This window comes from Homo sapiens, chromosome 7 (assembly GCF_000001405.40).
Source record: "Homo sapiens chromosome 7, GRCh38.p14 Primary Assembly".
Taxonomy (NCBI): domain Eukaryota; kingdom Metazoa; phylum Chordata; class Mammalia; order Primates; family Hominidae; genus Homo; species Homo sapiens.
This window is the reverse complement of record NC_000007.14, coordinates 99770825-99797455: the sequence shown is the minus strand read 5'-3', so window position 1 is coordinate 99797455 and position 26631 is coordinate 99770825. Positions and strand designations below refer to the sequence as shown.

At 42.2% G+C, this 26631-nt stretch overlaps 1 protein-coding gene across 2 annotated transcripts in view, besides 56 other annotated features; it reads left to right on the top strand.

The window, feature by feature from the left end:
• Positions 756-13322: a promoter, noted in NCBI's record as "12.5 kb construct based on reported coordinates on AF280107 (PMID:17344340)". NCBI's record gives its function as "drives expression of transgene in liver, small intestine, and kidney" and the evidence as "EXISTENCE:reporter gene assay evidence [ECO:0000049][PMID:17344340]" and "EXISTENCE:transgenic organism evidence [ECO:0001131][PMID:12781341, PMID:12815159, PMID:12867495]".
• Positions 756-13324: a biological region, named in NCBI's record as "CYP3A4 5' regulatory region". NCBI's record gives its function as "regulatory_interactions: CYP3A4 | LOC110366355".
• Positions 1893-2818: an enhancer, noted in NCBI's record as "CLEM (constitutive liver enhancer module of CYP3A4); -11.4 kb to -10.5 kb". NCBI's record gives the evidence for it as "EXISTENCE:reporter gene assay evidence [ECO:0000049][PMID:14742674]".
• Positions 1913-1941: a protein binding site, noted in NCBI's record as "F-ER6". NCBI's record gives its function as "promotes enhancer activity; antagonized by hepatocyte nuclear factor 4 alpha" and the evidence as "EXISTENCE:protein binding evidence [ECO:0000024][PMID:17764444]".
• Positions 1913-1941: a protein binding site, noted in NCBI's record as "ER6 (CLEM)". NCBI's record gives its function as "contributes to induction by vitamin D" and the evidence as "EXISTENCE:protein binding evidence [ECO:0000024][PMID:19712670]".
• Positions 1929-1955: a protein binding site, noted in NCBI's record as "A:HNF-4 site". NCBI's record gives the evidence for it as "EXISTENCE:protein binding evidence [ECO:0000024][PMID:14742674]".
• Positions 1950-1974: a protein binding site, noted in NCBI's record as "B:HNF-1 site". NCBI's record gives its function as "positive regulation of enhancer activity" and the evidence as "EXISTENCE:protein binding evidence [ECO:0000024][PMID:14742674]".
• Positions 2114-2139: a protein binding site, noted in NCBI's record as "C:HNF-4 site". NCBI's record gives its function as "positive regulation of enhancer activity" and the evidence as "EXISTENCE:protein binding evidence [ECO:0000024][PMID:14742674]".
• Positions 2244-2269: a protein binding site, noted in NCBI's record as "F:CRE". NCBI's record gives its function as "positive regulation of enhancer activity" and the evidence as "EXISTENCE:protein binding evidence [ECO:0000024][PMID:14742674]".
• Positions 2295-2320: a protein binding site, noted in NCBI's record as "G:E-box". NCBI's record gives its function as "positive regulation of enhancer activity" and the evidence as "EXISTENCE:protein binding evidence [ECO:0000024][PMID:14742674]".
• Positions 2819-4448: an enhancer, noted in NCBI's record as "-10.5 kb to -8.8 kb intestinal enhancer". NCBI's record gives the evidence for it as "EXISTENCE:reporter gene assay evidence [ECO:0000049][PMID:17344340]".
• Positions 4238-4257: a protein binding site, noted in NCBI's record as "DR1(III)". NCBI's record gives its function as "positive regulation of enhancer activity" and the evidence as "EXISTENCE:protein binding evidence [ECO:0000024][PMID:17344340]".
• Positions 4238-4257: a protein binding site, noted in NCBI's record as "DR1(III)". NCBI's record gives the evidence for it as "EXISTENCE:protein binding evidence [ECO:0000024][PMID:17344340]".
• Positions 4470-4482: a protein binding site, noted in NCBI's record as "DR1-D". NCBI's record gives its function as "positive regulation of promoter activity" and the evidence as "EXISTENCE:protein binding evidence [ECO:0000024][PMID:23295386]".
• Positions 5450-7248: an enhancer, noted in NCBI's record as "XREM (xenobiotic responsive element module), also known as DE (distal enhancer); -7.8 kb to -6.0 kb; XbaI/BglII fragment". NCBI's record gives the evidence for it as "EXISTENCE:reporter gene assay evidence [ECO:0000049][PMID:10570062]".
• Positions 5493-5522: a protein binding site, noted in NCBI's record as "HNF4 alpha site". NCBI's record gives its function as "mediates induction by Nr1i2/Pxr" and the evidence as "EXISTENCE:protein binding evidence [ECO:0000024][PMID:12514743]".
• Positions 5502-5522: a protein binding site, noted in NCBI's record as "DR1/DR2-C". NCBI's record gives its function as "positive regulation of promoter activity" and the evidence as "EXISTENCE:protein binding evidence [ECO:0000024][PMID:23295386]".
• Positions 5550-5570: a protein binding site, noted in NCBI's record as "5' dDR3". NCBI's record gives its function as "mediates response to vitamin D" and the evidence as "EXISTENCE:protein binding evidence [ECO:0000024][PMID:11991950]".
• Positions 5553-5567: an enhancer, noted in NCBI's record as "dDR3; dNR1". NCBI's record gives its function as "can function as a vitamin D-induced enhancer when multimerized" and the evidence as "EXISTENCE:reporter gene assay evidence [ECO:0000049][PMID:11723248]".
• Positions 5553-5567: a protein binding site, noted in NCBI's record as "dDR3/dNR1". NCBI's record gives the evidence for it as "EXISTENCE:protein binding evidence [ECO:0000024][PMID:20171174]".
• Positions 5553-5567: a protein binding site, noted in NCBI's record as "dNR1". NCBI's record gives the evidence for it as "EXISTENCE:protein binding evidence [ECO:0000024][PMID:15499176, PMID:20171174]".
• Positions 5553-5567: a protein binding site, noted in NCBI's record as "dNR1". NCBI's record gives the evidence for it as "EXISTENCE:protein binding evidence [ECO:0000024][PMID:16513849]".
• Positions 5553-5567: a protein binding site, noted in NCBI's record as "dNR1". NCBI's record gives its function as "promotes enhancer activity" and the evidence as "EXISTENCE:protein binding evidence [ECO:0000024][PMID:10570062]".
• Positions 5553-5567: a protein binding site, noted in NCBI's record as "dDR3/dNR1". NCBI's record gives the evidence for it as "EXISTENCE:protein binding evidence [ECO:0000024][PMID:20171174]".
• Positions 5553-5567: a protein binding site, noted in NCBI's record as "dDR3/dNR1". NCBI's record gives the evidence for it as "EXISTENCE:protein binding evidence [ECO:0000024][PMID:20171174]".
• Positions 5597-5614: a protein binding site, noted in NCBI's record as "dNR2". NCBI's record gives its function as "promotes enhancer activity" and the evidence as "EXISTENCE:protein binding evidence [ECO:0000024][PMID:10570062]".
• Positions 5665-5686: a protein binding site, noted in NCBI's record as "eNR3A4". NCBI's record gives its function as "mediates induction by rifampicin" and the evidence as "EXISTENCE:protein binding evidence [ECO:0000024][PMID:19074998]".
• Positions 5996-6016: a transcriptional cis regulatory region, noted in NCBI's record as "dNR3". NCBI's record gives its function as "contributes to enhancer activity" and the evidence as "EXISTENCE:site-directed mutagenesis evidence [ECO:0005528][PMID:10570062]".
• Positions 7307-7590: an enhancer, noted in NCBI's record as "-5950 to -5663 enhancer fragment". NCBI's record gives its function as "CCAAT/enhancer binding protein-responsive enhancer" and the evidence as "EXISTENCE:reporter gene assay evidence [ECO:0000049][PMID:15778453]".
• Positions 10224-10236: a protein binding site, noted in NCBI's record as "DR1-B". NCBI's record gives its function as "positive regulation of promoter activity" and the evidence as "EXISTENCE:protein binding evidence [ECO:0000024][PMID:23295386]".
• Positions 10371-10383: a protein binding site, noted in NCBI's record as "DR1-A". NCBI's record gives the evidence for it as "EXISTENCE:protein binding evidence [ECO:0000024][PMID:23295386]".
• Positions 11429-13277: a promoter, noted in NCBI's record as "-1843 to +6 promoter fragment". NCBI's record gives the evidence for it as "EXISTENCE:reporter gene assay evidence [ECO:0000049][PMID:12695546]".
• Positions 12020-13324: a promoter, noted in NCBI's record as "-1.2 kb to +53 promoter". NCBI's record gives the evidence for it as "EXISTENCE:reporter gene assay evidence [ECO:0000049][PMID:10570062]".
• Positions 12706-12711: a protein binding site, noted in NCBI's record as "KLF11 site C2". NCBI's record gives the evidence for it as "EXISTENCE:protein binding evidence [ECO:0000024][PMID:25076120]".
• Positions 12910-13324: a promoter, noted in NCBI's record as "-362 to +53 basal promoter". NCBI's record gives the evidence for it as "EXISTENCE:reporter gene assay evidence [ECO:0000049][PMID:10570062]".
• Positions 12983-12991: a protein binding site, noted in NCBI's record as "KLF11 site B1". NCBI's record gives the evidence for it as "EXISTENCE:protein binding evidence [ECO:0000024][PMID:25076120]".
• Positions 13035-13061: a protein binding site, noted in NCBI's record as "-237 to -211 DR1". NCBI's record gives the evidence for it as "EXISTENCE:protein binding evidence [ECO:0000024][PMID:17344340]".
• Positions 13057-13062: a protein binding site, noted in NCBI's record as "KLF11 site A2". NCBI's record gives the evidence for it as "EXISTENCE:protein binding evidence [ECO:0000024][PMID:25076120]".
• Positions 13072-13091: a protein binding site, noted in NCBI's record as "HNF3 site". NCBI's record gives its function as "mediates activation of promoter by xenobiotics" and the evidence as "EXISTENCE:protein binding evidence [ECO:0000024][PMID:15100175]".
• Positions 13096-13126: a protein binding site, noted in NCBI's record as "pER6". NCBI's record gives the evidence for it as "EXISTENCE:protein binding evidence [ECO:0000024][PMID:11991950, PMID:15578590]".
• Positions 13100-13123: an enhancer, noted in NCBI's record as "ER6, also known as pPXRE (xenobiotic response element)". NCBI's record gives its function as "functions as an enhancer when multimerized; mediates activation by Nr1i2/Pxr, glucocorticoids, and vitamin D" and the evidence as "EXISTENCE:reporter gene assay evidence [ECO:0000049][PMID:9727070]".
• Positions 13100-13123: a protein binding site, noted in NCBI's record as "pER6". NCBI's record gives the evidence for it as "EXISTENCE:protein binding evidence [ECO:0000024][PMID:20171174]".
• Positions 13100-13123: a protein binding site, noted in NCBI's record as "pER6". NCBI's record gives its function as "may antagonize induction of promoter activity by Nr1i2/Pxr" and the evidence as "EXISTENCE:protein binding evidence [ECO:0000024][PMID:15499176, PMID:20171174]".
• Positions 13100-13123: a protein binding site, noted in NCBI's record as "pER6". NCBI's record gives its function as "mediates positive regulation of promoter activity by xenobiotics" and the evidence as "EXISTENCE:protein binding evidence [ECO:0000024][PMID:10037683]".
• Positions 13100-13123: a protein binding site, noted in NCBI's record as "pER6". NCBI's record gives its function as "mediates positive regulation of promoter activity by xenobiotics" and the evidence as "EXISTENCE:protein binding evidence [ECO:0000024][PMID:9727070]".
• Positions 13100-13123: a protein binding site, noted in NCBI's record as "pER6". NCBI's record gives the evidence for it as "EXISTENCE:protein binding evidence [ECO:0000024][PMID:20171174]".
• Positions 13100-13123: a protein binding site, noted in NCBI's record as "pER6". NCBI's record gives its function as "may antagonize induction of promoter activity by Nr1i2/Pxr" and the evidence as "EXISTENCE:protein binding evidence [ECO:0000024][PMID:20171174]".
• Positions 13113-13117: a protein binding site, noted in NCBI's record as "KLF11 site A1". NCBI's record gives the evidence for it as "EXISTENCE:protein binding evidence [ECO:0000024][PMID:25076120]".
• Positions 13132-13155: a protein binding site, noted in NCBI's record as "-243 to -220 NFI site". NCBI's record gives the evidence for it as "EXISTENCE:protein binding evidence [ECO:0000024][PMID:19706729]".
• Positions 13136-13155: a protein binding site, noted in NCBI's record as "C/EBP site". NCBI's record gives its function as "positive regulation of promoter activity" and the evidence as "EXISTENCE:protein binding evidence [ECO:0000024][PMID:12695546, PMID:15100175]".
• Positions 13144-13201: a silencer, noted in NCBI's record as "57 nt difference between CYP3A4 and CYP3A5 containing two E-box motifs and CCAAT box". NCBI's record gives its function as "negatively regulates promoter activity" and the evidence as "EXISTENCE:reporter gene assay evidence [ECO:0000049][PMID:17548528]".
• Positions 13144-13201: a protein binding site, noted in NCBI's record as "57 nt element". NCBI's record gives the evidence for it as "EXISTENCE:protein binding evidence [ECO:0000024][PMID:22292071]".
• Positions 13164-13181: a protein binding site, noted in NCBI's record as "Sp1 site". NCBI's record gives its function as "mediates activation of promoter by xenobiotics" and the evidence as "EXISTENCE:protein binding evidence [ECO:0000024][PMID:15100175]".
• Positions 13178-13207: a protein binding site, noted in NCBI's record as "-93 to -65". NCBI's record gives the evidence for it as "EXISTENCE:protein binding evidence [ECO:0000024][PMID:11495920]".
• Positions 13215-13239: a protein binding site, noted in NCBI's record as "DEC site". NCBI's record gives its function as "mediates downregulation by interleukin 6" and the evidence as "EXISTENCE:protein binding evidence [ECO:0000024][PMID:22728071]".
• Positions 13215-13239: a protein binding site, noted in NCBI's record as "BTE". NCBI's record gives the evidence for it as "EXISTENCE:protein binding evidence [ECO:0000024][PMID:11495920]".
• The window catches only part of CYP3A4 (cytochrome P450 family 3 subfamily A member 4), a 27218-nt gene continuing 13858 nt past the window's right edge, over positions 13272-26631 (top strand). For both annotated transcript variants that reach the window (NM_001202855.3, NM_017460.6), the window contains exons 1-4: positions 13272-13445; positions 17371-17464; positions 19376-19428; positions 24767-24866. In NM_001202855.3, the coding sequence (NP_001189784.1) occupies positions 13375-13445; positions 17371-17464; positions 19376-19428; positions 24767-24866 (318 nt within the window). In that variant the 5' untranslated portion in view covers positions 13272-13374. The remainder of the gene's footprint in view (positions 13446-17370; positions 17465-19375; positions 19429-24766; positions 24867-26631) is intronic.

Sequence of the window (26631 nt, the reverse complement as noted above, 5' to 3'; positions counted from 1 at the left end):
AAATAAATAAATCAAGGAGAATCCATCTCTACCAGCCTGTCACAGCACTAAAAGAATACCACGCAGTCCCTGCCTCTTTCCTAAAATTTTTTTTTAAATTTTGGCTTTTGTTGTTATAACTTTACCAAAATTATTTAAAGTAACTTTACCAGCATTGAGTTTTATTGACTAAAGTCACCCGGATTATTTCATGGGTATAAACCCATTTTGTTTCAGCCAGTTTGCATGGGGCCTTTTCTTTGGAAAAAATAATTTCTGAATTGCTGGCAAGATGGCGGAATAGAAACAGCTCCGTTCTGCAGCTCCCAGTGAGATCGACAGAGAAGGCAGGTGATTTCTGCATTTCCAACTGAGGTACCTGGTTCATCTCATTGGGACTGGTTGGACAAGAGGGTGCAGCCCACGGAGGGTGAGCCAAAGCAGGGTGGGGCGTCGCCTCACCTGGGAAGCACAAGGGGTCGTGGAATTTTCTCCCCTACCCAAGGAAAGCCATAAGGGACTGAGCCTGAGGAACTGTGCACTCTGGCCCAGATACTGCACTTTTCCCATGGTCTTTGCAACCCGCAGACCAGGAGATTCCCTCCGGTGCCTATGCCACCAGGGCCCTGGGTTTCAAGCACAAAACTGGGCAGCCATTTGGGCAGACACCGAACTAGCTGCAGGAGTTTTTTTTTTTTTTTTTCCATACCCCATTGGCACCTGGAACGCCAGTGAGACAGAACCGTTCACTCCCCTGGAAAGGGGGCTGAAACCAGGGATCCAAGTGGTCTGGCTCGGTGGGCCCCACCCCCATGGAGCCCAGCAAACAAAGATTCACTTGGCTTGAAATTCTTGCTGCCAGCACAGCAGCAGTCTGAGATTGACCTGGGACCCTCGAACTTGGTTGGGTGCTGTGGGGGGGCATCTTCCATTGCTGAGGCTTGAGTAGGTGGTTTTACCTTCGCGGTGTAAACAAAGCTGCTGGGAAGTTTGAACTGGGTGGAGCTCACCACAGCTCAGTAAGGCCACTGTGGCCAGACTGCCTCTCTGGATTTCTCCTCTCTGGGAAGGATATCTCTGAAAAAAAGGCAGCAGCCCCAGTCAGGGACTTATAGATGAAACCCCCATCTCCCTGGGACAGAGCCCCTCGGGGAAGAGGTGGCTTCCACCATTGTGGAAGACTGTGTGGCAATTCCTCACGGATTTAGAACTAGAGATACCATTTGACCCAGCAATCCCATTACTGGGTGTATACCCATAGGATTATAAATCATTCTACTATAAAGACACATGCACACTTATGTTTATTGTAACACTATTTACAATAGCAATGACCTGGAACCAATCCAAAAGCCCATCAATGATAGACTGAATAAAGAAAATGTGGCACATATACACTGTGGAATACTATGCAGCCATAAAAAAGGATGAGTTCATGTCCTTTGCAGAGACATGGATGAAGCTGGAAACCATCATTCTCAGCAAACTAGCACAATAACAGAAAACCAAACACTGCATGTTGTCACTCATAAGTGGGAGTTAAACAATGAGAACACATGGACACAGGGAGGGGAACGTCACACACTGGGGCATGTCGGGGAGTGGGGGCCTACGGGAGGGATAGCATTAGCAGAAATACCTAATGTAGGTGACGGGTTGATGGGTGCAGCAAACCACCATGGCACATATACACCTATGTAATAAAACTGCACGTTCTGCACATGTACCCCAGAACTTAAAGTATAATTAATAATAATAATAATTTCTGGGCATGTAAGTAGCTGTCTTTCAGGTTCTACTTTGATACATATTCTGAGAGAATTAAACCTGTCAAAGAAACCTTGACTTTCAATGGCAGGCACTGGAATTGACCCTAATAATGTGTTTTGGGGTAAGCCTACTCATATTCTCAACCTGTCTGCAGTAGTCGTTAGAATCTGAACTTCCTGAAGTTCATGTGCAAAGTTGAGTTAATTGTTTAATATTCAACAAGGATTATGCCAGTAAGATGGTAGGAAAATATTAGATATGTGTCATCACTGCTGGTATTATTTAAACTGCAACATATTTTAGCTGGCTGCTGATCTCAGCCACCATGCCTGCATTTTATCTCTGTCTCGTGGTCTGCAACCTTGGAAGCTTTGAACTTAGCTCATAGAATCCTGGGCATCAAGAACATGTGGTTCTAATGGCTAGATAGGGAATGAGAGTAAAAGGATTTTGCCCACGGTCACGTGAGTAAACAACAGATTTGGAGGGGTCTGGACTACTGTGATGACTTCATTCTGACAATATGTTCCAGTTGTCCTTTCATTTCCTCCTAATCACATGTCTGGTCTGATCTGGCTGTTTCCCACCTTCCAATTCCTGCCTTCTCCAATGCTCCCTTCCGTAGGTCACTCTGTGGCTCAGAGACCCTGCTTAGCAAGCGCCCAACCTTTCAATTATTTGTTCAGTAAAACTTGAACTCATGTCTCCCCTTCTTGATAAAAAGAAAATACGTTATGTAATGTCGGGTTACTCTATAACTCTTGTCCTGTCTCTCGGCAACTACTGAACTAACTGTTTTCATATTGAGCAAACGTTTATGGAAGGACTGCCAAGAGTCAGGTACTAGGCTTGGTAATATTCCCCGTTCTCTCTAGTCAAAGCCAACACCAGCCAGACTTGCAGATCTAGGTCCCAAGCCCACTGCAGATCACAGGCCAGGGTCTGGTCTCCTCTGAGCTCCTTTGGGAGGGAAAGACAGAATTATTAACACCCATTTTGTAGATTAGGCAACTGAGGCTGAGGAAGTTTAAATAACTCAGACAGGGCCTGCACGTCAGTCATATTCCAAGGATCCCTACTCACTGTCTTCTCTCTACAGAACGAGATGTCTCTGGAGTCCATAGAAAGCCCAGGAGCCTGGCTGGGCACGGTGGCTCCTGCCTGTAATCCCAGCACTTTGGGAGGCCGAGGCAGGCAGATCACCTGAGCTCAGGAGTTCAAGACCAGCCTGGGCAACATGGCAAAACCCCATCTCTACTAAAAATACAAAAAATTAGCTGGGCGTGGTGGTGCATGCCTCTAATCCCAGCTACTTGGGAGGCTGAGGCACAAGAATTGCTTGAGCCCAGGAGGCAGCAGTTGCAGTGAGCCGAGATTGTGCCAGTGCACTCCAGCCTGGGCAACAGAGCAAGATTCCATTTCAAAAACAAAAACAAACACAAACAAACAAACAAAAATAGAAAGCCCAGGGACCACCTGCGTCAGGTTCCCAGCCACACCTTTTTCTTGTCCTCCTCTGTCTCTGGCATCTTCTCACAGGTTCCTAATTGTTTGTGGTTGCACAAATTCAAAATCCCAGAAAAATTACCACTTCACACCCACTCAGATGGCTATTTTTTTTTTGAAGGAAGATAACAAGTGTTGACAAGAACATGGAGAAATTGGAATTCTCACCCATTGCTGGTGAGAATGTAATACGGTGCTGCTGCTATGGAAAACAGCTTGGAGTTTCCTCAAAAAGTTCAACAGAATTTCAATGTGACCCAGCAATTCCCCTCTAAGTTATAGATCTGAGAGGATTAAAAACAGTTACTAAAATACACGGACTCACATATTTCTAACAGTCCAATTCACAAGGGCCAAAAGGTGCTAATAGCCCACATGTCCATCGATGGATGGATAAATAAATTGTGGTCTATCCATACAATGGAATATTATTCGGCCATAAATGGAATGAAGTACTGACGCATGCTACAGAATGGATGAACCGCAAAAAAAATGGATGAACACATGCTACAGAATGGATAGCCTCACTTTACTATGAAGTGAAGGCCAGAAACGAAAGTCCATATATTGCATCATACAAAATATCCAGAAGAGGGAAGCCCACAGAGACAGAATGTGCAATGGTGGATGCCAGGGTCTGGGGAGAGGGGAGAGTGGGGAGAAACTGCTCAACTGGTACAGGCTTTATTTTGGAATGATGGGAACATTTTGCAACTAGATAGAGGTAGTGATTGCAGAACACAGAATGTACTGAATTCCACTGATTTTTTTCACCTTAAAATGGTTAATTTTCAGTCCTGAGATTGGATAATCATAAAAAAATGGTTAATTTTATGTTATGTGAATTTCATCCCTATACATATTTTAAACCTCAGAAATATACACTAGCAGGCATGGAACAGGTCACTGTGGTGCCTGCCAAGCCCGGTGATGTTATCTGGGGTCCCCGGCCAGCCTTAAGCCTCTTGCTGACCGGTGGAGGGCAGAACCTTTGCCCTAAAAGTATAATATCCACATGCTGGCATGATTCCTGGCCAGATGGCTTCTTTATTAGCAGTAATTGAAACTGCCTCGATACAGACACTGTACCTTGCAACCAAAAAATGACTCAACAATGATAATAAGGGTTAAGCTGGGCCTTTCTCTCTTTGCCAGTTAAATTATATTTATTATAGCTTGACATGAAAAACAAAGCAACTCCAACAGGTATCACAAGGGCAAAGGACATGAACATTTTATCAAAGAAGAAATGCAGCTGTCAAAAATACAGAAATATTCAACCTTGTTCATAATAAAGTGGCTGGGCTCAGTGGTTCATGCCTGTAATCCCAGTGCTTTGCAAGGCTGAGACAGGAGGATCATTTGAAGCCAGAAGTTCAAGACCATCCTAGGCAAGTCAGTTCAATACCAGACTTCATGTCTACAAAACATCAAAAAATTAGCCAGGCATGGTGATGCATGCCTGTTGTCCCAGCTACTCAGGAGGCTGAGGCAGGAGAATTGCTTGAGCCTGGGAGGCTGCGGTGGCGGTGAGCCATGATTGTGCCATTGTACTCCAGCCTGGGCAATGCAGCAAGACTGTCTAAATAACAAAAATAATAGTAAAGAAAAGGATTGGGATGCCATTTCTTGCGTATTCAATACACAGAGTTAAAAGTAATTTCTACGTTTTCTATTTTTTTATTACTAAAAAAAGCTGGACCATTCTCACAGCCTGAAATGCTTCTCACTTTCCCTTCTTCTGTCCAAACACTTCTCTATGATAATGCAAACAGTCACTCCTTTAGGAAGACTTCACCCCAGGTAGTTCCAGATCCCCTTATCTCTGCCTTCCCAGAACTCCTGGTGTCTCTCCAGTTCCCTCCGTGTGGTGAAGTACCCTACCTAGGGTTTCAGTATGGCTCTGTCTGCAAAGGTCTTGTTCACACCTTCCCTTATGGTTCTGTTGCCCTGTGTTGTGTCATAGCACAGGGCACAGTGGAGAACCCATTCACACTGATAGAGAGGGCCCCATGGTCCTGGAGATAACCATGTAACCGATCAGAATAGGGCATTGAGGGCTGGGTGTCAGGCGTGGGCTGCACTTGGGTGGGCAGGTCCCCTGGAAAGTCACTGGGTTTGGCAAGCTTCCTAGTAACATGTCTCTCTGGGGTCCCCTTGGAACTTCATGCAAAAATGCTGGTTGCTGGTTTATTCTAGAGAGATGGTTCATTCCTTTCATTTGATTATCAAAGAAACTCATGTCCCAATTAAAGGTCATAAAGCCCAGTTTGTAAACTGAGATGATCTCAGCTGAATGAACTTGCTGACCCTCTGCTTTCCTCCAGCCTCTCGGTGCCCTTGAAATCATGTCGGTTCAAGCAGCCTCATGAGGCATTACAAAGTTTAATTATTTCAGTGATTATTAAACCTTGTCCTGTGTTGACCCCAGGTGAATCACAAGCTGAACTTCTGACAAGAACAAGCTATCATATTCTTTTCAATTACAGAAAAAAGTAAGTTAATTGATAGGATTTTTTTTGTTTAAAAAAAATGTTACTAGTTTTGAAAAGGTAATATGTGCACATGGTAAACACTAAGAAGGTATAAGAGCATAATGCTTTTATACTACTAAGAATAATGTTTTCTCTAAGTTTTTTTTGGTAGATGCTTTCATCAGATTAAGAAAATTCCCTGCTATTAGTTGTTGAAGGTTTTTATATCATAAATGAAAGTTGAATATTATTATCATATATTATTAATATATTGTTATTGAACTATCAAAGCCTTTTCCTAAAACCATTGAGATGATCTTATAACCATTCTCCTTTAACCTGTTGACGATATCATTGGTATTTATACTATTTCTCTGTTAACCATTCTTGAGTCTCAGGTTTAAATTCAACTTGGTCATGGTGTGTCATCTTTGATCATTGCTGTCTGTGGCTTGCTACTGTTTTGTTTAGGATTTTTGCACTGATGCTCATCAATGAGACTGGCATGCCATCTTCCTTTGCAGTCCTGATTTTTTTCTGATTTGGATCATGTGGTTATGGCCCTCATGGAATGAGTTGGGCATGATGCCTTTTTTTCATGTCTCTGGATTGATGGGACACTTTGGATTCTCTCCAGATGGCCCTCAATGGTCCCTGCCTCCTCATTGTTAGGCCCCTGGGCAAGCCCTTCTCATTTCTGGTAGGCCCAGGAACCTGTGGGGGTTTTGTTTGTTTGTTTGTTTCTTGAGTCGGAGTCTCACTCTGTCACCCAGGCTGGAGTTGGAGTGCAATGGCCCGATCTTGGCTCACTGCAACCTCCACCTCCCAGATTCAAGCAATTCTCCTGCCTCAGCCTCCTGAGTAGCTGGGATTACAGGCACCCACCGACACACCCTGCTAATTTTTGTATTTTTAGTACAGATGGGGTTTCACAATATTGGCCAAGCTGGTCTCGAACTCCTGATCTCATGATCTGCCCGGCTTGGCCTCCCAAAGTGTTGAGATTACAAGCATGAGCCACCACACCCAGTGAACCTGTGGTTTTTAGAAGCTCCCCATGCATGTGAATGCTGTGAGCATCCCAGGATGACAGCCACTGTGTGTTCAGCTGTTGGAACTGTGAGAAAGCACCAGTGGGACCCTCTCCAGCACCTGCCTGCTGAGGTCATGGAAGAGGCTTGTTGGGGAGATGATGCCCTGGCTGACTCCTGAAGGATGGTTAGGAATGCACCAGATGGAAGCTGGGTTGGACCCACTCTATGCTGAAGAACAGCTTGTGTGGACACAAGGAGACACGGATATGTCATTTTTGTAGAGCCTGAGGAGTGTCCAGTCACACCATTTGCTTAAAACATCATGCACACTTGGAAAAGTGGACTGAGACCGAATGAAGAAGCTAACAGTGGCCAGATCAGAAAGGGTCTTGTGTTACTTCCTAGAGATACTTAGATTTTATCCTGTGGGTGATAGGAGCAGTTGGAGGGACTGAAGACAAGGAAAGAAACATGTTTCAAGATCTATGTTTTTCAAGACGCTTTCTGGTGGCTGAGTAGGGAATTCCCTGGATAAGTCCTGCCCAGGGTCAGGCAAAACAAGTTAGGGGGTTACTGAAATAAGGAGTATGAGAAATGGTGTAGGTTGTGCTGACGTTTTGTAACACATCTCATGATGATCTTCATTTCCTTCACTAATTTCCTGTTTCATTAATTCCCTTCCACGTGCTCTTCTGAAATTTGCCTCACATTCTCTGATTTCTCTTTTACCTGTTGGTTTCATCACCTTTTACTTTTTGCTTTCCTGGAAACACAAATGATTCTGATTGTGACATGTCAGAATTATTTGCAACATTTGCCTTTCTGCTGAAACCATGAGTTCACTGAATACACAATTTAGTAAAGTGTAGGATGCACATGTCGTTTTCGTGGTCACAACCAGCTCTGTAGCATTTTATAACTACACTGGCAGTGTGCTGGGAGGTGTAGAGAGAAATATTTATCACATGTGTGGCTGACACAACCTGCCAAGTTATTTTAGGAGCCTCCTTGGAATCCCAGCAAGAATGCTACCGGCACAATTTGTAATCACAGCATCCTGCTCCATGCCTTGGCTTCATGGCATAGTCACTTCTGCAAGTCTCTTTCCAGCTGTCTGTTCCCATGTCTATAAAGTATGAGTTAAATCATCCTAACACTACTCATCTTACAAAGTTTTCTTGCTGATGTTAAGAGAGTTGGGAAAGAACTGTATAAACTGTGAAGTGCCATGGAGATGTTAGTGGTTACTTTATCAAGAAATAGACACTCTAGAATGGAGTAGAAAGCCAACAGTTATGATTGAGTCCTCCTCCTCTTCTTCTTTTTATTAATTTATAAAGAAAAGAGGTTTAATTGACTCACAGTTCCATATGGCTGGGGAGGCCTCGGGAAACTCTCAGTCATAGCAGGAGGCAAAGGGGAAGAAGGCACCTTCTTCACAAGGCGGCAGGAGAGAGAGAGCTCCTGTTCTTTTTTGTCATAAAGTCTACAGAAGTGCTTATACTTCAGGACAAGGGCAGGCAGAGAGAAGGAAGGACATTGCTTCACCCCAGCCCTCACTGACGAGTTTGCTAGGGGACCTCACTTTGTCCCAGAGTAGGGGCAGAACTCTGGCCACTACCCATTCAGAAGGCCTGGGCTGCACTGCTAGTTCCTCACTAACTCTGTGTGGCCTTGGGCAAGGTTGGGCCTGTGTTAACAGATTATGACCCTGGGCTCTCAAGCTAGAGGATCTAAATTTGAATCCTGGCTCTGCTAAAGCAATTAGTGATGTAAACTTTAATGGGTCAGTTAACCTTCCTGTGGCTTAGTTTGCTCATCTGTAAAATAGGGATCATAACAGTATCAATACCACATGATTGTTGGACAGATTGAATCAGTTAATGCAGGGGAAGTACTTAGCATGACACGTATTCACTATCATTTCCTGGAGTAAGAGCTGTGTGTGAGTGGGTGTGAGCATGTGTGAAACCTTTTCTCTGCAATCTCAGTTAAGAAACCAATCCAGAATTTAAAGTTCAGGGCCTAAATGGGTGGTTATCTTCTCCCAGTTCCATCCTATCCCACCTTTGCTCTTCCTCCCGCCCACAGGAGCTGTTGGTCCTTGATTGGGCTGGAAGACCTGGTGGACCCTAAGTGATCTATAAGAGGAGAATAGAGAACAGGGAATGTCTTCAAAAATCCTAGAGGGACACAGAGGCTGAGAGGCAGGCAGTCCTGCAGGGGTCTTCTGATTGGGACAAGGAGAACCTTGGTCTTCACAGGCCAATTCTGGTCAGTTTCCCCCATGGACAGATGAGGAAACAGGCCCAGGAATATCCAAGGTCTCACACTTCCCATCTGTCAAGTCTTGTTGATGCTGTTGTATTCATGTCTCTCAAAGGGAGATAGAGTTTAGGGAAGAAAGAAGGATCAACTGTGTCTGATACCACTGGGAGCTTAAGTAAAGGGTTCTTTTACTTCATAGCATTTATCCCAATTTGTAATTCAGTATTATTTGTGTGGCTGTTTGGTGTCTCTTTCTCCTATATGAGTGCTAGCTTCATAAGGGCAAGGATTTTGATTCTTTAATATTTAGTGCTTGCCACATGCCCTGAACACAGCAGGCATACAGGCTAACCAACATACAGTGGCATGAAAGTCATGAAAGTGAGACACCTACCTCCTCCAGTGCCAAGAGAGCATAACCATGCACCTGTCACTCTCCTCAACACCACCCCCAAGCATGAGGCCCAAAAGCATTAGCTAATCCCCTCCTCCAGCCACTAAAACTTAAAGGCCAGGTGTGGTGGCTCCCATCTGAAATCCCAGAACTTCAGGAGACAGCAGCAGGAGGATCACTTGAGGCCAGGAGTTTGAGATCAGCCTGGGCAACATAGCTAGGTCCCATCTGTACTAAAAATTAGCTGGGCGTTGTTGCATGCCTGTAGTCCCAGCTACTAAGGAGGCTGAGGTGGGAGGATCACTTGAGCCCAGGAGGTGGAAACAACAGTAAGCTATAATCACAGCACTGAACTCTAGCCTGGGCAACAGAGTGACACCCTGCCTCAAAACAATTTTAAAAATAAATAAGAGCAAAACTTAGATACCACGTGGTCACCCCAACATGCAAAATCAAGTTTTCCCCTACTGAGAAGAATGGGGACTTGACAGCTGAGTTACAGAGAGATAATCTTCTTCTTCTTTTTTTTTTTTGGTTTACATCCTCAAGATCATGACTTGTGAAATTTGAATCGAATACACATGTAATTCCAGAGCAATGTTGCCTCCGCATACCATCAGCAATTCACTTGGCTACTGGAAGTCAGGATAAGCTTCCCAGAAGAGAGGTACCACTTGGGCTACCAGTATAAAAGGATGAAAATATCAGAGTGATGGTGTTCTTTACAACGTTGAGTCCCTGGACAGCCTGTCCACTGATGCTGATATCTGAGCCTAATGCTTCTCTGAATGTTGAGATTGAACTTTGATCCAATGAAACTAGAACGAGAAAGAAGATAAGTCTTTCATTGTTGATAAGGACATTATGTTTCTCATACTTGTATGATTATTTTTCCTTAGCTGTACTATAATTATCTGCTTATTTGTCTCTGCTCTATGTGCTTAGGGTACAAAGTTGACCAAGACCAACTTTGGTTGGAAGCATAGTACTAAGAGCACAGTACTGAGAGCACAGCTTTAAAAAACATGATGAAGGCTTTAATACAGGAAATGAGCAGGGGAGAGGCATGTGGTGGTTGGATGTATCTTCCTTGACACAGTCAGTGCAGCTCTCAGTAGTCAAGTCCCTACATGTTAGAAGATGTTACCTTCTGTGGAATTAAGTGGCAGAACTTGCCTTCAATTATTTTCCTTTGCAGAACAACACCAACTGCATTAGTTAGGACACAGTGCTGGCTGCATTTAAGTCCCAAGCGATGATTAGTCTCTCACTGTTGGTATAGATTCAAACCAATCAGACCACCTCCTAAAGTTTGTAGGGCAGGTAAATCCTCATCTTAGAATAAAAATCATCTTACCAAGTATGTGTTTTAGAGGCAAGAAGAAAACATATTTGTTTCTGTAAGAGTTTTGTTTAAAAAAAATATAAGAAAGGCTCTCGGTTTAGGTGAGGTAATGAAGTTGTTGATAGTTATCAGATGACACTGGAATCTTTACTTCTCTGAATGTGTTCTGTGCATCTCTCAGTGTGGGAACATAGAGAGGGAGATCCTCCAGCAATGCCACTGATATGGTCAGAAACTGCATCTTTCTTTCTCCCTGCTGAGATGAGATGGAGTCCTTTGTTCTAGAAGACCCATGGTGGTGCCGCTGGGAGTAACCCTTGAGACAGGAACACAAATCCCAACCAATTTGTGGTTGCAGCCTTGAGTCTCACTATTTCCCATAGTGATGCGTAGCAGGGAATGGCAGGTGCACCAGAGCAGGAGAGGACCTAATATCTCCCTTCCTGTTAGCTTTTTATAAAGTTTTATTGTGATCAGTAGCAGTTGGGAAGCTACTTGCAGTCACTGAGCCTCAGTTTCTACATCTGTAAACTGGGGATAGTAGCATGGCCCCTACTTAATGTGCTCAGCAAAGCCACTGAAAGGAGACAGAAATGTATCTAAATTCCCTGGACTTTTATCCTACCTCTCTTGGGGATTGTCACCACCTTCCCATGTTTGTCCTTTTTGGTTTGATGCTTGCTGTCACTTCTTTCCTTAGGTGCCTCTCTGTACGGCTCTTTTATCCCAGGGATTCCAGAGTTACAGCACATGCATACCACCATCCAAGCATGTTTATTTGTCTCCTGCTTCACTAGGCTGTCCCCAAGGAACATGTGGCTCCCGGCACACACCTGGCACAACACTGCACATGACATTCACCCACTTGGCCTTGAATCTGACAAGGAATCTGGCATGATGTTCACCCACTCAGGCCAGGTGCCGAGCAGCCCTGGAGGCTTAGGGGCCAGAGGGATGGGAAAAGGTGTCTTTCTGGGGTGAGTATCAGTTTCTGCAGGAGGGCTGAATGTGAGAAAGAATAAAGAGAGAAGGAAGCGAACAAGCACAGCTTAAACATCGCCTATTTCTATTGAGTTTTAAGAACGCTGTGATTTTGTTTGTCATGCAATCCATTCATCAGGCCAGGCAGACACAGAACTTGGGTGTGAGTGACGATAATGAGCTGATATAATTTTCACACCCTCATCACTGAGATCTCTCCCATCAGGAATGGGTCAGGGAGCTCACAGGTGGCAGCAACTGCTATTACAGGCCTCATCTCTACCAGCTCCTGGGGCCTGCCCTCCTCCCATTAGAAAATCCTCCACTTGTCAAAAAGGAAGCCATTTGCTTTGAACTCCAATTCCACCCCCAAGAGGCTGGGACCATCTTATTGGAGTCCTTGATGCTGTGTGACCTGCAGTGACCACTGCCCCATCATTGCTGGCTGAGGTGGTTGGGGTCCATCTGGCTATCTGGGCAGCTGTTCTCTTCTCTCCTTTCTCTCCTGTTTCCAGACATGCAGTATTTCCAGAGAGAAGGGGCCACTCTTTGGCAAAGAACCTGTCTAACTTGCTATCTATGGCAGGACCTTTGAAGGGTTCACAGGAAGCAGCACAAATTGATACTATTCCACCAAGCCATCAGCTCCATCTCATCCATGCCCTGTCTCTCCTTTAGGGGTCCCCTTGCCAACAGAATCACAGAGGACCAGCCTGAAAGTGCAGAGACAGCAGCTGAGGCACAGCCAAGAGCTCTGGCTGTATTAATGACCTAAGAAGTCACCAGAAAGTCAGAAGGGATGACATGCAGAGGCCCAGCAATCTCAGCTAAGTCAACTCCACCAGCCTTTCTAGTTGCCCACTGTGTGTACAGCACCCTGGTAGGGACCAGAGCCATGACAGGGAATAAGACTAGACTATGCCCTTGAGGAGCTCACCTCTGTTCAGGGAAACAGGCGTGGAAACACAATGGTGGTAAAGAGGAAAGAGGACAATAGGATTGCATGAAGGGGATGGAAAGTGCCCAGGGGAGGAAATGGTTACATCTGTGTGAGGAGTTTGGTGAGGAAAGACTCTAAGAGAAGGCTCTGTCTGTCTGGGTTTGGAAGGATGTGTAGGAGTCTTCTAGGGGGCACAGGCACACTCCAGGCATAGGTAAAGATCTGTAGGTGTGGCTTGTTGGGATGAATTTCAAGTATTTTGGAATGAGGACAGCCATAGAGACAAGGGCAGGAGAGAGGCGATTTAATAGATTTTATGCCAATGGCTCCACTTGAGTTTCTGATAAGAACCCAGAACCCTTGGACTCCCCAGTAACATTGATTGAGTTGTTTATGATACCTCATAGAATATGAACTCAAAGGAGGTCAGTGAGTGGTGTGTGTGTGATTCTTTGCCAACTTCCAAGGTGGAGAAGCCTCTTCCAACTGCAGGCAGAGCACAGGTGGCCCTGCTACTGGCTGCAGCTCCAGCCCTGCCTCCTTCTCTAGCATATAAACAATCCAACAGCCTCACTGAATCACTGCTGTGCAGGGCAGGAAAGCTCCATGCACATAGCCCAGCAAAGAGCAACACAGAGCTGAAAGGAAGACTCAGAGGAGAGAGATAAGTAAGGAAAGTAGTGATGGCTCTCATCCCAGACTTGGCCATGGAAACCTGGCTTCTCCTGGCTGTCAGCCTGGTGCTCCTCTATCTGTGAGTAACTGTCCAGGCTCCTCTTCTCTGTTTCCTTGGACTTGGGGTGCTAATCAGGCCTCTCTTTCCCTTATCTGTTTTGAAGATCAAAAAAGATGTTCAGGCCGGGCGTGGTGGCTTACACCTGTAATCCCAGCACTTTGGGAGGCTAAGGCAAGTGGACTGCCTGAGGTCAGGAGTTCAAGACCAGCCTGGCTAACATGGTGAAACTCTGTCTCTACTAAAAATACAAAAATTAGCTGGGCATGGTGGTGCACGCCTGTATTCCCAGCTACTTGGGAGGCTGAGGCAGGAGAATTGCTTGAACCCGGCAGGCGGAGGTTGCAGTGAGCTGAGATCATGCCAGTGCACTTCAGCCTGGGTGACAGAGTGAGGCTGTCTCAAAAAAAAAAAAAAAAAAAAAAGATGTTCAAGGAGCAGTAGCTTAAGTGTTGGATGCTACAAACATATAGAGGTTATTGTAGATCTTATGCAGCTCTATAAAGGAATAAATAAGCATCTTCCCCATCCATCTTTAGTGGCAAGAAGGGTTTTGGGATAGCATTGATTGAGGATGATCTACTTGACAATAGTTTGGACCCAAGGAGGATAAGGAAGGAAAGTAGTGACGGATCTCATTCCAAACTTGGCTGTGGAAACCTGGCTTCTCCTTACTAAACTAGAATTTGGATTTTACATTTTCCCCTTTATGTTGCAGTAGAAGAGGATGAATCCTCTCACTGGTGGGATCCTGCCATCCTAGAGCAGGTAGAGAGAAGAGTCACTCCCCACTGTGGGTAGTGGAGGCTTCTCACATGTCACATTTCACTTCTACCTCAATTTCACTCTTACTAAGATTTGGGAATCATAATGACAGGAAAATAGAAAATATAAACCTCATTTTAATTCTTTCACAGAAAGGTTAGAAATTCAGTGAGTTGTGGCAACATATTTTCCATCTTCTGACCTTTTAACACTAATTGATATGGCTTAAATTCATTCTATTTTAAACCAGATTTTTTTGGAGATAGTCTATTTCCAACATGTTCCTTCTAGGTGACAAATGAGGGCTGTTAGTTCAGTATTTGTTACAATAAATGTGTGTAAAATAACCTCACCTTTCCAGAATCATGTCAGGAATATGAATCTAATGCACAAATGTATAACTCTATGACAAGATTGCATATATCTTTTAAAATATACCTTCCCAACGTTCATTTTAATACCCCTATTTCAAACAAACCTGCTTAGCAGGTTATGTTAAACGCTCAGGGCAGAGGAGTAAGCAAGACTGTGAGCCAGTGATGACAGCAAAAGCATCCAGGTAGGATCAAAATGGAGTAAGAAAATATTCCTCATCCCTCAGGGTAGAACTCCAAAGAGATATTCATGGGTCCTGGCCCCGTAGTGGAGGTCACTCAAAGGACAAACATGTTTGCATCTCATCTGCTTGAAGCCTGGACACAGAGGCACCATCTGTGTCACTCTGTGTGTGGTCTGCCATGTTGTGGGGTGGTCACTACAGACTCAGGCAGCTGGGCAGACAATACCTTAGCCTTAGATGATGCTGATGCAGCCCAGGAGTCAGAAACTGTAGTGCAGACAATGCCCTCCTTAGGCCAACACAATTAAGTGCAATAGATGACTGGCTTTTCTGTTAGCCTCTTCATTGGAACCAAAAGCAGCATTACTCTACCAAACAGAGGGGAGCTGGAAAGAAACTACACAGTTTGCCCAGCCTAGCCTCTGCCTTGACACGGAACCATGTGAGTCTAGACATTCACCTAGATCATTCCTTGGGGACCAATGCTGCTGACACATTAACTCAATAGTTTGTCCTGGCCTGAGAGGTCATGTAACTTGTAGAAAGTTTAGAAGCAGAGATTAGTGTCATTTATTTGCCATGGCTGTGACAACAAAGGAAGGAACAGGAGTGGGAAAACCCAAGGCCACCCTGGTTTTGGTAGATGGTGCACACGCTTCCACTAACTGTTCTGGGGCAAAGATCCAAATGCACTATTGGGCCTGGCTATGCTGCTTCTGCTGGGTCCCCCAAACATGAGCCTCCACGCCATTTCTCAGTTGTATTTTACCACATATTATCACAGTCACCGGATTTGTACAGAATATTTGGAACCTATACTGTCTTAAGGGCTACCCTTTAAAGAAGAGAAAACAAGGTTTTAATTCAACTGTCTGGAACATTTTATGTTTACTTATGTGGAATACTACATCTTTTGTTATAAACAGGAGGGAATGTGGACATTCGAAGGCCCCTACCTTTTAGCTAAAAGCCCATATGAAGCATATGGATCCATTTATACACACCATGCTTTTCAGCTACATTTTCCTAATTTGCCTCTCTGGGGCCAACCTTGTGGGACTAGCAGATTCATGGTTGAGTTGAAGGATGGTGACCTCTTCCATCAGCTTTTCTTCTTCCTCCAGTCTTCCAACCCTCAGTAACATCAGACTGGGAAGGTCTTCAGACATCCAGAAACCCCAGTTCGGGGAGTTCATACATGACCCATCAAAGATGAGTTGCAAGCAGGCCTGCCTTAGGGAGCACCAGCCTTAATGGGTTTTCCTACAGAGATAGTTGATGGGCAGATGCAATAAACTGACTGCTTTGTGATTGACCACCTTGAGAAAAATTAGCATGTCTGGCTATGTTAGTCTTTTCTTGCATTGTTATAAAGAAATACCAGAGTCTGGGTATTTATAAAGAAAAGGGATTTAATTGTCTCATGGTTCTGCAGGCTGTACAGAAAGCATAGTGACTTCTTCCTCTAGGGAGGTCTCAGGAAATTTACAATCATGGCAGAAGGTGAAGGAGAAGCAGACAGATCTTACATGGCTGGAGCAGAAGCAAGAGAGGCTGGGGAGAAGGTGCCACACATTCAAACCACCAGATCTCATAAAAACTCATTGTCACGAGGACAACACCTAAGGCGGGATGGTGTGAAACGATGAGAAACTGCCCCTAGGATCCAATCATCTCCTACCAGGCCCCACCTCCAGTATTGGGGATTGCATTTCAACATGAGATTTTGGTAGGGGCACAGATTCAGACCATATCACTGGCACTGTGCTAATCAGATGAATATCACCAGTTGGAAGGCTAGATTCCACAAGAGGAGGAATGACCTGGAAATTGGTTCTTTAGTTGTGATTCTTCTGCACACTGTCATTCAGGGAAATATGAGTCAATCATCCTTCCCAATAGGTCAAATCAACCAGATCATCTGATCACAGAGACTGAGGTGTAGCTGAAAGCTGCTCACATTTCTATGAGGTCAATGGAAGCCTTGAGCACAGTTGTCAATCTGTAGAAATAAGGACTCTGTGACTCCTCCAAGACCTCTCTGTGAATGACGGTTTAAGAAGAACCAGATCCTAAAACAGGGTCAGAGCTTAGAGGGAAGGGAAAGCATAAAAGCCTCTGAGCAAATTCTAAAGACAGGGTCACCATAGGCTCTCAGTGACCCTCTGTGACTGAGTGGCTGCAGTGATGCAAAATCTCATCATCACTGCGGAAGACAAAAAAATGTCACCCTTTCTACCTAGGATGAGAATCCCCAAATTTGGGGAGAGGCCACTTACTAAATAGACGTAAAGGAACAAAGTGACCTGGAAGAATTCCTGCCTGAACCTCTCAGGATCATTCACATTTGAGAACATTTATCAAATATTCATTCCAGGACTGGGACCATGAAGACTTCAGCTGCTTTGAGCTAATCATTGTAACTTTTTGGTGTCTCATGGTGGAGGCAGGAAAGGACCTGATGAACAAATATAATCATTGCCGTCAGAGTTACTGTTATTATTTCTTGCCTTAATGTTACCTCGTTCTCTTGAGCATTCCAGTTCCTCAGTCAATGACTCATCAACCCCTATATCTATAAAGTCACAATCGCTGTGACTTGATTTCTGTTTCACTTTGTAGATATGGAACCCATTCACATGGACTTTTTAAGAAGCTTGGAATTCCAGGGCCCACACCTCTGCCTTTTTTGGGAAATATTTTGTCCTACCATAAGGTGAGTGTTTTTGAGCTCACTCTTTTGCTTCTTATGATTGCCAAGAGCAGCTTAGTTCCATCAGTAAAAATGCTTCTCCTCAGGGGGAAGGTCTGAAGTTTTACACTTTCAGAAACAGTGTGTAGGCATCACCCAGAACATGGCAATGTTTACCCAAGGGCTCTCTTGCTAACTCTCAGGAACCTCAGGTTTGCCTCAGTTGAACAGCCCAAATCTCAGGTAGATCAGCAACCTGATGCTCAGAACTTGATGTGCAAACTTTGTGAGCGCCATAAAGAAGGTTTTCTTTTTGCTCTATGCAGGTTCCCAGGAAGGTACAGTCATACTTAGTTAGTATTAAAAGTAGGAAAAGGACCCCCTGATTGTGACTTGTTATCTGTGTACATGAGAGTCAAACTTTCCTCTCTGTAGCAAGAGCTCTTGAGTAGCCTTTTTTCCCTTCCTTCTGGACAGCTTTGAAACTCAATTTATTAGGGAGCCCAGGTATTTACCTTTGGGTCATTTGCACCTGCTTCAATCCTCTCCGAAAAATGCTAAATTCCCTGAGGGTATCTCCATGGCTCTACCCCAGCTCTTACTCCCCATGACATCTTTTGCAGCTTTGAGAGACAGAACAAAGGGGTTCTGCTTTATTTCTTTTCCTTCAAAGGCTGCACCTTATGGGTGAGTCTGATCACAGACTGGATATAACTGAGATGAGACAGTGGTGGTCAATCAAACTCAGATATTTAAGCACAAAATGAGTTTGTGGGGTTTTTTTTTTACACAAAGGCGGAATCACATGCAAAATCACTAGAAAGGGGATGATTTGATGAAATTATTAAATATTTAATTTTGCTGAATAGAATATAATATGTGCCACGTGGACCGTGAACTTTGGCCGAGCCTTTGTGCCTAACCTAGTCTGATGCTCTGCCCAGGGTCTGGGCCCTGGATGGAAAATTAGGAGCCCATGTCCACATGGCCAGCCGCAGCAGTCAGCTCTTTGGCTTACATCATCTTTCCCACATACCTGAGGCTTGTTTCTCAGATTCTAATTCTCTCAGGTGAGGGCTTTGTTGTCTAATTACTATCCAGGAATTTCATATTTTTTCCCTGTGCAAAAGCAATAATTTCCCCGCCACCTTTTCCAGGTCAACTCTTTAGTAGATGTACCCCCAAGATGCACATTCCTGGGACCTTTGTTTGCACAGTTAAAATGTCACCCCTGAAATGTCGATACAGGAAGGTTTGTTTTTAAGTTTCAGTGAAAACTCTGAGCAAGTGTTGTAATTTGCTGTGTCCGATGTGTAGAGGGGACATTTTCTCAGAACTTCCATGTTAAGCTGGAAAACTGGAAAGTGAGTTCACTTTGTCATTCTGTCACTCGTTCATTTTCTCACTCAACAACATGCCTCATACTTACCTAAATCTGCTAGACTAAAGGAGTTCCCTGGTGTCTGTAACTTTCCAATTCTGCTAGAACTCTAGAGCGAGCTCATGAAATAAATGAAAAGGATGACAAAGAGATAAAACACTGTGCATTCTCTTCTGATGCTAATTCACTTTCCCTTGGCCTCAGTTTCCCCATGTGCCCCTGGAGGTGATCATTCAGGGATTCATGAGATTTTCAAGACAACACATGAAAAAGCAAAAAGACATCAGAAAGACAAAGAGGTACTTAGTATTTATACACAAGGATAAGTCATTCAGTATCCACAACACTTGGAGAGAATTCAAGAGTGATTTTAAATTTCCCTTTTCAAATACCTCCTCTGTTTTCTCTTATTTCCTTTATGACGTCTCCAAATAAGCTTCCTCTAACTGCCAGCAAGTCTGATTTCATTGGCTTCGACTGTTTTCATCCCAATTAGAGGCAGGGTTAAGTACATTAAAAATAATAATCAAATATTATTTTGTTTCTCCTCCCAGGGCTTTTGTATGTTTGACATGGAATGTCATAAAAAGTATGGAAAAGTGTGGGGGTGAGTATTCTGGAAACTTCCATTGGATAGACTTGTTTCTATGATGAGTTTACCCCACTGCACAGAGGACAGTCTCAGCCCAAAGCCTCTTGGGATGAAGCTCTTGTCAACCTAACTACAAACAGAGAGAAGTTCTCTGAAAGAAGAAGATATTTATTTGGGTGTAGAGTATTGCAATGGGAATCTGCATGCCTTTATAAACTATGTGCAAATTCAGGGAAGTAAAGCAAGACAAAGAGGCTCCAAGGAAAATATGAGGAGGATTTCTTATCAGTTTTGAAATAATTATCCTTCGCTACAAAGATCAGTAACAAGGGTGACGCCTCACCAAGGTTGGACAGGCAGTTGCTGGGCAGGTGTCCTTGCAGAAATATTTTTTTTAATGTTGGGATGGCCTTTGTGCAAGCTTGTAGTTTTGCGGAGTCTTTTGTGATAGTTTTGTTATCAGGCACACAAGCATGAGAATCCTCTCTTCATAGCCTTCTTTGATTTATTTGTCAGGGTTTTTACACACACACACACACACACACACACACACACACACACACACAACTAGTGACATCATTTTGGTTCTAACAACATTCACACTGGTTATTGTAAAACTTTTCGAAGGTTGTCCTACCAAGGATCCCATGTGTCACCAGGTGTCAAGTTCTACAGTCTGAACTAGGCTGGGAGCATTGTGATTACTTTTCTCCAGACTTTGGTGGCCCAGGGACTCACAGCATCATGCTCTGTCCAGTGTCTGCCTATTCCCCTCTTCTTTTTTTTTTTCCTTAGGTGCCCTTTTATTACATGTGTTGTCTCAGACCCTTCTAATATGTGCTCATAAATACATCATATCATCTCCTTCCCACATCAATTCACTTTCAATTAAAAGCCAAAACTCTTTCATTTAGACTTTGGATTTAAAGTGCTTTTGAATGAAGGGTTGAGAGATAATAGAGAAATAGATTGGCAAACCATTTATACTCTGCTGTTGTTGTTTTTTAATTTTATCTGCAAGTGTGGAACTTTTCATTCTGTTTTGTTATTAAATTTAAGCCAAGACTTTTTAATAGAAGGGTATATAAGCATTTCTTTGTCTATACCTTCCTGCTGAATTTGAAGAAATGCTGAATATTCTTAACCACTGGCGGGCTGATGGACTGTGATTTTATTTTATTTTTTATTTTTAGTTTTTTAAATTATACTTTAAGTTCTGGGTTACATGCATAGAATGTGTAGTTTTGTTACATAGGTATACACGTGCCATGGTGGTTTGCTGCACCCATCAACCTGTCACCTACATTAGGTATTTCTCCTAATGCTATCTCTCCCCTAGCCCCCCACCCAACAACAGGCCCCAGTGTGTGATGTTTCCCTCCCCGTGTCCATGTGTTCTCATTGTTCAACTCCTACTTAGGAGTGAGAACATGTGGTGTTGAGTTTTCTGATCTTGTGATAGTTTGCTGAGAATGATGGTTTCCAGCTTCATCCTTGTCCCTGCAAAGGACATGAACTCATTGTTTTTTTATGGCTGCATAGTATTCCATGGGGTATACGTGGCACATTTTCTTTATCCAGTCTGTCACTGATGGACATTTGGGTTGGTTCCAAGTCTTTGGTATTGTGAATAGTTCTGCAATAAACATATGTGTGCATGTGTCTTTATCATAGAATGATTTATGCTTTGGGTATATGCCCAGTAATGGGATTGCTGGGTCAAATGGTATTTCTAGTTCTAGATCCTTGAGGAATCACCACACTGTCTTCCACAATGGTTGAACTAATTTACACTCCCACCAACAGTGTAAAAGTGTTCCTATTTCTCCACATCCTCTCCAGCATCTGTTGTTTCCTGACTTTTTAATGATCACCATACTACCTGGCATGAGATGGTATCTCATTGTGGTTTTGATTTGCATTTCTCTAATGACCAGTGATGATGAGCATTTTTTCACATGTCTGTTGGCTGCATAGATGTCTTCTTTTGAGAAGTGTCTGTTCATATCCTTTGCCCATTTTTTGATGGGGTTGTTTGCTTTTTTTCTTGTAAATTTGTTTAAGTTCTTTGTAGATTCTGGATGTTAGCCCTTCGTCAGATGGATAGATTGCAAAAATTTTCTCCCATTCTGTAGGTTGCCTGTTTGCTCTGATGATAGTTTCTTTTGCTGTGTAGAAGCTCTTTAGTTTAATCATATCCCATTTGTCAATTTTGGCTTTTGTTGCCATTGCTTTTGGTGTTATATTTATGAAGCCTTTGCCCATGCCTGTGTCCTGAATGGTATTGCCCAGGTTTTCTTCTAGGATTTTTATGGTCCTAGGTCTTACATTTAAGTCTTTAATCCATCTTGAGTTAATTTTTGTATAAGGTGTAAGGAAGGGGTCCAGTTTCAATTTTCTGCATATGGCTAGGCAGTTTCACCAACACCATTTATTAAATAGGAAATCTTTTCCCCATTGCTTTTGTGTGTCAGGTTTGTCAAACATCAGATGGTAGTAGATGCATGGTGTTATTTCTGAGGCCTCTGTTCTGTTCCATTGATCTATATTTCTGTTTTGGTACCTGTACCATGCTGTTTTGGTTACTGTAGCCTTTTAGTATAATTTGAAGTCAGGTAGCGTGATGCCTCCAGTTTTGTTCTTTTTGCTTAGGATTGTCTTGTCTATGTGGGCTCTTTTTTGGTTCCATATGAACTTTAAAGTAGTTTTTTCCAATTCTATGAGGAAAGTCAGTGGTAGCTTGATGGAAATAGCATTGAATCTATAAATTACCTTGGGCAGTATGGCCATTTTCATGATATGGAGTCTTCCTACCCATGAGCATGGAATGTTCTTCCATTTGTTTGTGTCCTCTTTTATTTCATTGAGCAGCGGTTTGTAGTTCTCCTTGAAGAGGAGAACTTCACATCCCTTGTAAGCTGGATTCCTAGATATTTTATTCTCTTTGTAGTAATTGTGAATGGGAGTTCACTCATGATTTGGCTCTCTGTTTGTCTATTATTGGTGTGTAGGAATGCTTGTGATTTTTGTAAATTGATTTTGTATCCTGAGACTTTCCTGAAGTTGCTTATCAGCTTAAGGAGTTTTGGGGCTGAGACGATGGGGTTTCCTAAATATACAATCATGTCATCTGCAAACAGAGACAATTTGACTTCCTCTTTTCCTAATTGAATATCCATTTCTTTCTCTTGCCTGATTGCCCTATTCAGAACTTCCGACACTATGTTGAATAGGAGTGGTGAGAGAGGACATCCTTGTCTTGTGCCGGTTTTCAAAGGGAATGCTTCTAGTTTTTGCCCATTCAGTATGATATTGGCTGTGGGTTTGTCATAAATAGCTCTTACTATTTTGAGATACGTTCCATTGATACCTAGTTTATTCAGAGTTTTTAGCATGAAAGGCTGTTGAATTTTGTCAAAGGCCTTTTCTGCATCTATTGAGGTAATTATGTGGTTTTTGTCATTGGTTCTGTTTATGTGATGGATTACATTTATTGATTTGGTATTTTGAACCCAGCCTTGCATCCCAGGGATGACGCTGACTTGATCCTGGTGGATAAGCTTTTTGATGTTTTGCTGGATTTGATTTGCCAGTATTTTATTGAGGATTTTCGCATCGATATTCTTTAGGGATATTGGACTAAAATTCTCTTTTTTTGTTGTGTCTCTGTCAGGCTTTGGTATCAGGAGATACTGGCCTCATAAAATGAGTTAGGGAGGATTCCCTCCTTTTCTATTGTTCAGAAAAATTTCAGAAGGAATGATAACAGCTCCTCTTTGTATCTCTGGTAGAATTCAGCTGTGAATCCATTTGGTCCTGGACTTTTTTTGGTTGGTAGCCTATTAATAATTGCCTCAATTCAAAACCTATTATTGGTCTATTCAGAGATTCAACTTCTTCCTGGTTTAGTCTTGGGAGGGGGCATGTGTCCAGGAATTTATCTATTTCTTCTAGATTTTCTAGTTTATTTGCATAGAGGTGTTTATAGTATTCTCTGATGGTAATTTGCATTTCTGTGGGATCAGTGGTGATATCCTTTTTATCATTATTTATTGCATCTATTTGATTCTTCTTTTTTCTTTATTAGTCTTGCTAGCAGTCTATCTATTTTGTTGACCTTTTTCAAAAAACCAGCTCCTGGATTCACTGATTTTTTGAAGGGTTTGTTGTGTCTCTATCTCCTTCTGTTCTGCTCTGATCTTAGTTATTTCTTGTCTCCTGCTAGCTTTTGAATTTGTTTACTCTTGCTTCTCTAGTTCTGTTAATTGTGATGTTACTGTGTCAATTTTAGATCTTTCCTGCTTTCTCTAGTGGGCATTTAATGCTATAAATTTCCCTCTACACACTGCTTTAAATGTGTCCCAGAGATTCTGGTACATTGTGCCTTTGTTCTCATTGGTTTCATAGAACATCTTTATTTCTGCCTTCACTTCCTTATTTACCCAGTAGTCATTCAGGAGCAAGTTGTTCAGTTTCCATGTAGTTGTGTGATTTTGAGTCACTTTCTTAATCATGAGTTGTAATTTGATTTCACTGTGGTCTGAGAGACAGTTTGTTGTGATTTCTTTTCTTTTACATTTGCTGAGGAGTATATTACTTCCAATTATGTGGTCAATTTTAGAATAAGTGCGATGTGGTGCTGAGAAGAATGTATATTCTGTTAATTTGGGGTGGAGATTTCTGTAGATGTCTATTAGGTCCTCTTGGTCCAGAGCTGAGTTCAAGTTCTGAATATCCTTGTTAATTTTCTGTCTTGTTGATCTGTCTAATATTGACAGTGGGGTGTTAAAATCTCCCATTATTATTGTGTGGAAATCTTAGTCTCTTTGTAGGTCTCTAAGAACTTGCTTTATGAATCTGGGTGCTCCTGTATTTGGGTGCATATATATTTAGGATATTTAGCTCTTCCTGTTGTATTGATCCCATCACCATTATGTAATGCCCATCTTTGTCTCTTTTGATCTTTGTTGGTTTAATATTCTTTTTAAAATAAAATATTTTAAACATATGAAACATTATGGAGAATGGCATGGGAAATATCCACGTATGCACCACCCAGCTTAACAAATGCTCTACTGTCATTTCTAACCATGGTCTCTTTGAAGAGCTCTTTTGTCTTTCAATGTCTCTTCCTTGTTTGGCCCACATTATCCTTCATCATATGAAGACTTGAGTGGCTCCTGTGTCAGACTCTTGCTGTGTGTCATACCTAATGAACTAGAACCTAAGATTACTGTGTATTGTACAACTAAGGGATTATGTAAAGTCAGGATCAAAGTCTGGCTTCCTGGGTTGGGCTCCAGCTGTAGAATAAGGCTGTTGATGTTTAATCAACTCTGTTTTTTTCACACAGCTTTTATGATGGTCAACAGCCTGTGCTGGCTATCACAGATCCTGACATGATCAAAACAGTGCTAGTGAAAGAATGTTATTCTGTCTTCACAAACCGGAGGGTAAGCATTCATGTGTTGAAATTAAAATACTGATTGATTAAATTTATATTTTGAAATTCTTATATATTCATAGACAGTTGCCTAAAAAATGTCCAGGAAGGTTCCACGTCCACTTCATCCTGTCCCCCCCGAATGGTAACATCTTGCAATCTTGCATAACTATAAATACAGTATATTCATGTTACTATATAGTACAGGAAATTGACATTGATACAGTTCACAGAGCTTATTCAGATTTCACCAGCTTTATGTGCCCTCATTTCTGTTCTATGCAAATTTATCACAATCATAGATTTGTGCAATGACCAGCATGATCAAAACGCAGAACCCATTTGTGTTCTATACAAATTTATCACATCATTAGTAGATTTGTGCAATGACCAGCATGATCAAGATGCAGATCCACTCTGTCTCCATGTGGCTCCCTCCTGCTATCCTACAGTCACAAGTCTTTTTCTCTGACAGGGTCCATATCAGAGCAAACTATTTTTTATTTTGAGGTGATCAATGTATTAATATTTCCTTTTCTGGATTGTACTTTTGGTGCCATGTTTGAAAGTTCTTTGCCTAGCCCTCCTTCCTATATTGCTGTTTTTTTCTAAAAGTCATAAAGTTTAATGCTTTACTAAATGTAGCTCTATTATCAATTTTGTGTTATTTTTTGTATAAGGTATGAGATTTAGATCAAGGTTCATTTTTTTTGTGGCTTATGGCTGTCCAATTCCTCCAACGCCATTTTTGGAAAGATGGGTATATTGTTAAAAATCAACTGGGCATACTTCTTTGCATCTCTCACGTACTACTGTGTCCCATTGATCACTGTGTTTATTATTCCACCAATACCACACTGTGTTGACCCTAGTAGCTGTACACTAACTCTTAACCTCGTGTAGAGTGATTCTTCCCACTTTTATTGACTTATTTTTTCAGATTTGTTTTAACTCTTCCTGGTCCTCTGCTTTTCCATAAAAATTCAGAATGAGTTTCTCAGTGTCTACAAATAAACGTGCTGTTATTTTGACAAGAATTGAATTAAATATATAGACCAGTTTATGGAAAATGTGTATCTTTACTGTTTGATCTTTCAATTCATGAACATAGTATGCCTCTCCATTTCCTTAGATTTTCTTTGATTGCTTTTAACATCTTGTAGTTTTCAGCATAGAGATCCTGTACATGTTTTGTTAGATTTACAGCTAAATTATTTCATTTTTGTTGGAATGACTGTAAATGATATTATGTTTTTCTTGTATTTTCAGATATTGATTGTTGTTACATAGAAATGTGCTTTGATTTTGTGTGTTGATCTGGTATCCTAGAACCTTGCAGAACTGACATAGTAGTTCTAGAAGTCTCTTTGTATATGCCTTGAGATTTTACACATTGTCAGTTATGTCACTTGAAAATAGAGACAATTCTTTTATTTCCTTTCCAATCTGTATGCCTTTTATTTCTTTTCTTTTGTCTATTGCACTAGGACTTCCCAGTATAATGTTGAGTAAATGTGGTGAATTTTTGAATTGTTCCTAATCTTAGGAGGGAAGCCTTCAGTTCTTTCATCATTAAGCATCATTTAGATGAAGTGGGCTGTTTTTTTGTAGATTCTCTTTATCAAATTGAGGAATTTTCTCTCCCTAGTTTGCTGAGTTTTTATCATAAATGAATGCTGGAAGTACTCATTATAAAAAAAATGGCTATGGAAGATGAAAGAAAGTTTCAAGCATGTTGGCTTGATAGGCCAGTTCCAAGTTGGCAAAAATAATTA